The sequence below is a fragment of the Homo sapiens genome, chromosome 20 (assembly GCF_000001405.40).
Source record: "Homo sapiens chromosome 20, GRCh38.p14 Primary Assembly".
Taxonomy (NCBI): domain Eukaryota; kingdom Metazoa; phylum Chordata; class Mammalia; order Primates; family Hominidae; genus Homo; species Homo sapiens.
The window spans coordinates 30,594,354-30,603,845 of record NC_000020.11 but is presented as its reverse complement, the minus strand read 5'-3'; positions in this window follow the sequence as shown (position 1 = coordinate 30,603,845).

Sequence of the window (9,492 nt, the reverse complement as noted above, 5' to 3'; positions counted from 1 at the left end):
TGCAGTTAAGAAGTGAATTCCCGGAGAAGCTAGTCAAAGCCAGCACCTCAGCACAGACTCCATGGCTGCATGCAAAGAGGCCTGCAAGAAGGCAGCTCTGGGACTTGAGTCACACATTTGGGCTGCTCCTCTAGATGGGATTCTGTGGCCCCTGTAACAGAAGTTATAGCCCTGATGGGTCATGGGGAACCCTGGGTAATTAGTGACAGGGTACTTAGGGTTGGCCAAGGGCCCTGAAACAGGCTGTGCTGCGGTGGCACCCAGGCCTGGCTTGTCCTTAGGAACAGTTTCTGACTCAGTAGGTGCCAGTGGGGATTGAGGTTCTGATTTTCTTTTTCTTTTTTTTCCCTTGAGACAGGGTCTCACCCTATCTCCCAGACTGGAGTGCAGTAGAGCAATCATAGCTACTGCAGCCTCGAACACCAAGGCTTAAGCGAGGAAATCCTCGAACCTCCTGCCTCAGCCTCCTGAGTAGCTGGGATTACAGGCATGTGCTACCATTCTTGGCTAATTTTTGTACTTTTTATAGATACAGGGTCTTACTGTGTTACCCAGGCTGGCTTCAAACTCCTAGGCTCAAAAAACAAGGATATCACCTCAGCATCCCAAAGCACTAAGATTACAGGCAAGAGCCACCGCACCTGGCCCACATTTTCAGACCAGAAATCTCTATGGGTTGTCAGCTCCTGGGCTGGTCCCTCTCCTCCTGGCTGCTGGGTGGACCTGGTGCTTTTGCCTCTACACATCCCTTTCTTGCTGTTTCATCCTCACAAGTTCCTGTGGAGTAGGTGGTTCCTTGTCCCCTTTCTGGATGAAGGAAGGCACTGAGTTACCTGCCCCAAGGCTGCTGAGGGGAGAGGCACATGGTGTCAGGGCTTGCCCTCTACCTCAGACCTTGGCCACATCCCTCTAGAGTGAGTGACATTGGCTTACAGGGTCATCACCCACTTGTTTTGTGGATTTCGTGACAAATTGAGAAGTTTAAGCAGCACAGGCTCTTTAAGCAGCACAGGGTGGACCTCACTTCCTCTCCCAGCAGCAGGGCATTTTCCAGATTCCTGGAGCAGTGTCCCCGGGGCAGACATGGAGGGTCCCAGCTAGCTTCTGTTCCCTCTGGCTGCCCTTCCTGCTGAAGAGAAGCACAGGGAAGGTGCAAATGAAGGCATCATGGCTAGGGAAGAAGAAACTTTGGGTGACATGGGGGCACAGCCCAGCTGGACAGAGGCTGCCCAGCCCCTCCAACCTCTCTTTAAAGACAGGAAGGGGCTGAGCTGGGGTCCACTCAGCTCATGCTCCTGGAGGTGTGGACATGGTACACTTGGGAAGAGAGAAGAGATGTCAACATTCTTTCCACGCAGATTCTCTGTTTTCTGTGGAGTTTCGTGCTTTCTCAGCTACTCCCTGCCAGAAATGAAAGCTAGGGTCATGGTCCACCAGCCCAGCAGAAAAAAATGATGATGGTGGTGAGGATGATGATGGTAATGGTAGTGATTGTGATGGTAATGATGATGGTGGTGATGGTGATAGTGATGATGATGGCAATGATGACAGTGATAATGGTGATGGTAATAATGATTGTGATAGTGATGATAGTAGTGGAGATGGTGATAGTGATGATGATGGTGATGGTGATGATGGTGATACAAATGGTTATGGTGATGATGGTGATAGAAATGGCGATGGTGATGTTGGTGGTGATGATGGCAGTGATGGTGATGATGATGATGGTGATTATGATGGTGATAGTGATTGATGATGGTAATGGTGATGATGATAGTGATGATGGTGATGGTGATGATGATGGTGGCAGTGATGGTGATGACGATGGTGATGGTGATGATAACTATGACAAGTAGTAAACTATCCTTACAGGCACCAGCTATGTACCAGGCACAGTAGTAGGCATGGTACATACAACTCCTCCAGTATTTTAGTCGTTGATCTTCTACTGGATATGATGATCCACTCTCTGCAGAGAAGGAGTCTGAGACTCACTGAAGTTGTGTACATCTTGTTGTCACACAGTTGTTGGTGGCAATCACAGCCCAGGGTTTCTGCGTGCACTGGGTGTCACAGGCTTCAGGTGATGCCCCATGTGTTGTGCTGGGAGGCCTTTTTTGCCATCCTGTTAGCCCCTTAACACTTGGCCTCTTCCCCTCTCTCCACAGGTTCCTTGTGAGACACCTGGGGGACTCCAAACACCAGGAATCCATCTGCCTGCTGGTCCGGAGACAGGGATCCTCAGCCTCCTTCCAGGGTTGATGGCTCAGGAGGCCTTCTCTGCAGGGGACCAGGACACAGGAAAGCCAGGAAGAGATGAGCAGGGAAGGGAGCTGTTGGGGGCCATTCTGGTTTTAAAAATAAAGCAGGACTTTTGTTGCTTGTTATAAAAGGAACACATGCTCATTTTCTGTGATTTAGGAAAGCACAGAAAAGTATAACGGAAAGAAGAACGTGGCCGCTGCCTAGTACCATGGAAAAAAGGGCTGTAGTTTTTAGTGTCTGCCTAGACTGTAAAGTTCTAAACTCGAAAACTTGTACAACTCATTGTTGAATGGCTGTGTAATACTCCATCACATGAGCACATCATTTCCTGGTTACCTGACCCTTACTGGCTAGAGATGTGTGGTGTTCCTAATTTTTGCTATTTTAAATAACCATGGGAGGAACCACATTAACATAAATCTTTGGGTGCCTTTGTGCTTTTTGCCTTAAAATAGATTTGCCAATGTGGAATTACTGGCCTGAAGGGTGCAAATCTTTTTAAAGCTTTTGATACATACTGCTGGGCTATAGGAAACACCTTCCCAACTTAGTCCCCTGACTACAAGGGAAAGAGTGCCTGCCCTGCAGCCCCACCTGCATTGTGGATTTGTATTATTAAAAGATAAGCCTTGCCAGAGGGACATTTCTAGCTTGAATGTGTGCCTGACACCAATGTGAGCTCCAACAGTGTGCCTTGAACCCAGTGCCAGATGCTGCAGAGGGCTGCAAAGTAAGGCAAAGGCTCTGTGTGTCTGCCTCACCTCTGGTAATGAAAGAGGCCACTTCCTTTTTTGTTATTTCTCCTATATATATATATTTTTTTTTTTTTTTGAGATGGAGTTTCACTCTTGTCACCCAGGCTGGAATGCTATGGCTCAATCTCAACTTACTACATCCTCCACCTCCTGGGTTCAAGCGATTCTCCTGCCTCAGCCTCCCAAGTAGCTGGGATTACAGGCATGTGCCACCACACCTGGCTGATTTTGTATTTTTAATAGAGATGGGGTTTCGCCATGTTGGCCAGGCTGTTCTCGAACTCCTGACTTCAGGTGATCCGCCCGCCTCGGCCTCTCAAAGTGCTGGGATTACGGGTGTGAGCCACCGCACCCAGCCAATTTTTTTTAATGTCAAAATCAGGTTCAAAAATTATGGTTTACATTAAACAGATGTTCTTAACAACAATAGAAGAAACCAGGAATATAATCCAGTTGTAATCAGGAGATCATTTCTAGACTTGGCCTTGTCTGGATGGTGGCATGGTTGGAGGGTTTCTGAGCCAGGGGCCAGGGCCAGGTGTCAGTCATCCCTGGCTGGGCTTCTGTGCTGGATCCTCCAGACCCTCTGAAGGTAGCACCCAGCCCACTCAAGGTCCCATGGGGGGCAGTGCCCTGTGGCCCGCAACAGGGCTACAGCTCCATGAGCAGGGATGTCACTGGCATGCTTGGGCTCATAATTCCATGTCACCCATGAGAAAGACACTGTGTCCTGTCTGCAGAGCGGGGATTCCTGTGGGAAGAGCTCAGGAGAGCCACTAGCCCTCTGGGGCCACCCTTGCCTGAGGATCTTATGCAGCCAGACCAGAACCTGGGAGAGAGTGCAGGTTTGGCGGGGAGCGGGCTGACTTCCTAGAGAGCAGACAGGCTTCTTAGAGATCCTCAGAGACAATTGTGGAGCCTCTGGAAGTGTCTGAATTCTACGCTCCCCACCCCCGACCCCTTTCTGTTTTCTTTTTCTTGACCATTTCCTTTGGTGTCTGTATTAGTTAGGGTTCTCTAGAGGGACAGAACAAATAGAAGATATATATATATATGAGTTTATTAAGTATTAAATCACATGATCATAAAGTTCCGCAATAGGCCATCTGCCAGCTGAGATGCAAGGAAAGCCACCCACAGCCCACAAGCACGTGGACATCTGGAATTGCCCACTCTGCATTAGTGAGGAGGTGAGGTTGGTTTTGTGTTAATGGGAAGTGTGTGCCCGATTTTGTCTCTGAAATAAGAACTTATCCACTAATATGGCCTTGGGATGCTGTAACTGTTTTGGTGTTACCTAGTCTCCTTCAGATTCTCAGTGTCTTATGCTCCTAGCTTTAGTGCAAGGAAAATGTTTTCCATTTTTCTGTAGCTATTATTATTCTCTTATTTTTTTCATTTTGCCAACTTTCCAAGTAATTTCTTAGGGGGCATTTAGAGAGTCTTAATTCTGATACAATAAAATACATGCCCAGTGTCAGCAAACAGCCCCTCCTGTGAGGACAGAATGGCCCCAATGAAGCTCAGTGTGCTGGAGCATGCACAGTCGGGGCCCTGAATCCCAGCAGCAGCCCCAGGAGTTAGGTGCTGTCTCCTCAACATATAACCACAGCTAGTGACAGAACCAAGCTGAAAGCCCTGAGACTTAGTTTCACCTGCCAAGTGGCCACTGTCACGGTTGGTGGCACAGGCAGTGGGGGTTGGAGCAGTGATGCAGATGTAGGATCAGTGCCAGCAGGGGATCTGGTCTGGATCCCTGTGGAGGGTCCACTTCCTTCAGCTTTGGTGGGGGAGGAGGGGCAGCCCGGTTGTCACCCCCCAGTGGGCAGGACCCGGATGCAGCCCCTGCCTCTGGCCTTGTCACCCAGGTGGTGGTGGGGTGCTGAGGCCTTTGGTTCTCTGAGCTTATTTGGGCAGCAGAAGGACCCTCCCACTGTGACCATTTCTCTTTTCTCTCAGTCTCTTGGGGTCTCCTGCACAAAGCAGCAAATGACTGACAGGTGGCTGTCCTGGTCAAGGTGAGGCCTGTCACCTGTGCCACCCAGTTCATCCTCCCAGTGGGTGTCCCAGGGGTGGGTGGTGCTGGAAGCAGGAAGCCCCCAAGGGGCCCCTGCTTGTGTAAGTGTATTGGCTGTGCCAGGGCAGGGCATCCTGCAACAGACACTGGCCCAGAGCCTGGAGCCACACAAGCGGGCACTGCATGGAGGGCGGGGCCAGGTGTGAGGACCAGATCCCCACCTGACCTTCCTGTGCTGAGTCACTGGCTCACCATGGCTGTTGGCACCTTGTCCCTGCTACATCAGAGGGAGAGGTGAGGCCTGGGATGCCAGAGGGATGGAGTTTGAGGAGACTAGGACTTCCTTGCACTCACAGGCACAGCTGGGGCCTCATGAAGTTTGGGCTTGGGGTCCAGACAGGGCACAGCCAGCCTGTCCATATGCTGAGCCTGAGGTCATGCTGAGGTGTGTTCCTTAGCTCGGTTGGCAGAATAACAGCCCCTGAATGCACTCATGTCCTAATCCTGCAACTTTAAGTTGCATGGCAAGAGAGGAGGAAGGGAAGCTGTGGATGGAGTTGGGGCTGTTCACCCAGCTGTGAATGGGGAGGCTGCCCTGCATGTCTGCACAGCTGCAGTGTCCTCACAGTGGTCCTTAGGAGGGGAGGAGGGCAGGAGGAGGGTTGAGTCAGGGTGATGTTTGTGAGAGCTCGGCTGGCCATCACTGGCTTTGAACATGGAAGGGGCCAGGAGCCAGGGAGTGCAGGTGGCCTCTAGGAACTGGAGGAGTTGGAGACAGATTCTCCCTAGAGCTTCCAGAGGGAGCTGCCCTTGCCCACACCTTGATTTTAGCCCATTGAGACCCATTTGGACTTCCAAACTCCAGCCTGGAGAGCGAATCCTTCAGGTGGGCTCCTGTCCAAAGGCCCTGTGAGGATCCTGGTGACTCCAGCCCCTCACCCCAAGTCTTGTCCCAAGAACAGGCATGTTTCAGGGAGTGCTGGCCCTGCTAACTGAGCACTGAGTCTGTCTGTTCTACTCTGAGTTTGGTGGTCTGACCTCTGACCTTCTGCCTGAGGGTCAGCACCAACCCATAAAGGCCTGGCAGGTAGGGGTGTGTGATGAGCCATGTGTGTGTGAGGCCCTGCTGAGATGGTGCAGAACCAGGTCAGCGTGGTGTAGGTCATCCTGTGGCTTCATCTGCTCCAGATGCTGCAGTGAGAGCACAGCCTGGAGCAGCCTGGGGGCCAGGTGAGGGTGTGGACATGGGGCATGGCTGTGACTATGGATGTGGGCATGGACATGGAGCGTGGATGTGGCTGTGGATGTGGATTTGGGGTCTCACATGGATGTGGGGTCTGACATATGGTGTGGATTCTGGGTCTAATTTCTGGGCTGCAAGAGCTCAACTGGCTCCCCTCCAGGGCAATGTAGTATAATATGTGTCTTTGAAATGAATAATGATGGTGCTGAAGGGACTGTCCTCAGCTCCCAGCTCATCCAGCCCCACAAAAGTCTTTGCATGTGACTGAAACTTGGTGTCACTGATGAGAACCTGAGGTATACATGGCACTGTGGTCAGTGCATGTGACATTTTCCAGCCCTGTCCTGTCCTCCTCTTTGCTGAGCTCTTCTTCACATGCCATAGTGCTGTGCCCTGGTCCAGTTCCTGGCTTTGGGCCTTTACTTCCATTAGGAAGACACCTTTAGTATAAACTTCATGAAGGAAGAATATTAACACTTTGTCATATTCGATGTAAATATTTTTCATAGCGTGCATTTTAAAGTTTGTTTTGGTGTTTTGGAGCATGATTTTCATCCATCAATGTTCTTGCTGACTTTCCTTCCAATTTTTGTTTGTTTCTTTATAAAGAAAGTCACTTTGCACCCTGAGAGCAGAGCAGACAAGTATTCCCTCACGTTGTGCTTTCTATGGCTTTTTTTTTTTTTTTTTAATTTTTTGGCGGAGTCTCACTCTGTCGCCCAGCCTGGAGTGCAGTGGTGCGATCTCAGCTCGCTGCAACTTCCACCTCCCTGGTTCAAGTAGTTCTCCTGCCTCAGCCTCCCGAATAGCTGGGATTACAGACGTGTGTCACCACGCCTGGCTAATTTTTTGTACTTTTAGTAGAGACAGGGTTTCAGCGTGTTAGTCAGGATGGTCTTGATCTCCTGACCTCATGATCCACCCACCTCAGCCTCCCAAAGTGCTGGGATTACAGGCATGAGCCACTGTGCCCAGCCAATGGCCTTTCTTTTACATTTGACTCTTTGGACTGCATGGACTTTATTTTAGCTTGTATTCTAAGATAGAGTGAATTTCATATTTTCAAAAACAATTTGCCAAGATCTTTTTCTGGGCTTCATGCTCTGTTGTCAGAACTCAGGACTGTGGTGGCTGTAGAAGAGAAGACTCGTCTAGGGCCCAAGACCATGGTGGCCTGAGGGTTAGTCTCATACATTGGGCACTAATAAAAACAGCTCACGCTGTCTAACAAGTGTTTTCTCTGGGCCAGGCCCACCCATCTCTTTGCCTGGCTTCAGTTGCATGTGTAAATGTCCCAAGGGCAAGGGCAGTACTATCCCCAGTGAATGAATAAGGAGACTATTCTGTGTATGGGCAGGCACTTAACCTCTCATACCTCAATTTCCCTATTCTGGTAAATAAGGCTAATAATAAGAATTCCCATTATTTCAGGGTTGTTGGAAAACAATGCTATTAGAGTTCTTGGCATGCTGCCTGTCTCAGAGTGAGTGCTCAGGCAGAGTTAGTGATGATGGAGTTTGTGATGGTGGTGATGGTGGCGATGATGATGATAGTAAGGAGGATGATGATGGTGGTGATAGTGATGATAATGATGGTGATGGGTGTGATGACAATGATGGTGTGGCCATGTTGGTGATAATGGTGCTGGTGGTGATGATAGTGGTTGAGATGATGGTGATAATGCTGGCATGGTGGTGTTGGTGGTGATGGTGGTGGTGATGATGACAGTGGTTGAGATGATGATGACAATAATGGTGTAGCAATGTTGGTGATGGTGCAACCTCCGCCTCCTGGGTACAAGCAGTTCTCCTGTCTCACCTCACCTGGTGATGGTGATGATAATGATGATAGTGGTGGCGGTAATGATGATGATGGCGGTTGAGGTGGTGATGATAATGATAGTGTGGCAATGTTGGTGATGGTGATGATGATGATGGTGGTGGTGATGATAGTGGTTGAGGAGTTGATAATGATGGTGTGGCAATGTTGGCGATGGTGATGTTGGTGAAGGCCATGGTGATGATGTCACTCTCAAAAGGGCAAGTTCTTTTTTTTTCTCTTTTATTGAGTTAAAATTTACATAGCATAATATTAATCATTTTAAAGTTAACAATTCAGTGGTACTTAATAAAGTCACAATGCTATGCAACCATTGCCTCTATCTAGCTTCAAAATATTTTAATTTCCAAAGGAAACTCCATACCCACTAAACTGTAACTCCTCATTCCTCTTGCCTCCCACTGTCTGGCACCACTAGTCAGCTTTCTGTCTCTTTGGATAGACCTATTATAAATATATTATCATTTCACATGAGTGGAATCATACAGCATTAGTCCTTATGTGTCATGCTTCTCTCATTTAGCATAATGCCTTCAAGATTCATCCACATCGTAGGATGTAAGAGGACCTCATTCCTTTTGAAGGCTGAATAATATTCCATTGTATATACAGACTACATTTTGTTTATTCATTCACTATGAGTTACACGTGTAAGCTCAGCACTTTGTGAGGCTGAGGTAGGAGGATTCCTTGAACCCAGGAGTTCAAACCACACTGGGCATCATAGTGAGAACACCCATCGCTACAAAAAAAAAAAATTAAAATTAACCTGGCAATGTGACATGAACCTGTAGTCTCAGCTATTCCAGAGGCTGAGGTGAGATGATTGTTTAAGCCTGGGAGAGCAAGGCTGCAGTGAGCCATGGTCGCACCAGAGCACCCCAGCCTGGATGACAGAGAACCTGTCTCAAAAAGTAAAAAGGATAAAATCTAAAAAGAAATGTATTAAATCAAGACATGTAGACATAGTAAATAATAGAGAACCCCCTCTCCACAAAAGCCTTGTATATATAGTCAAAATGATCTTCAACAAGGGTGCAAAGGCCAAACTATGGAGAGGGAATAGCCCCCTTTAACAAAAAACGGTATGAAGACTTGCTATCAACATGTAAAATATAGAAGTCAGAATTGTAGTTTATACTACATTTTTTTAAAAACTCAAAATGTGTAAGTCTGAAAGCCTTACACAAAAATATAAGGGAAAAATATCCAAAATTATGCCATGGAATTTGGCAATGGGTTCTTGACTGCCAGCAGCCCCACATCCCTGGAGCATCCATCCGCTCACCGCTGCCTGGTGCTGAGTCCTTCCACACCTGTCACACTGCTTTCTGCGGGGCTCTGAGCGGCACGAGCCAGGACACCACGCGGAG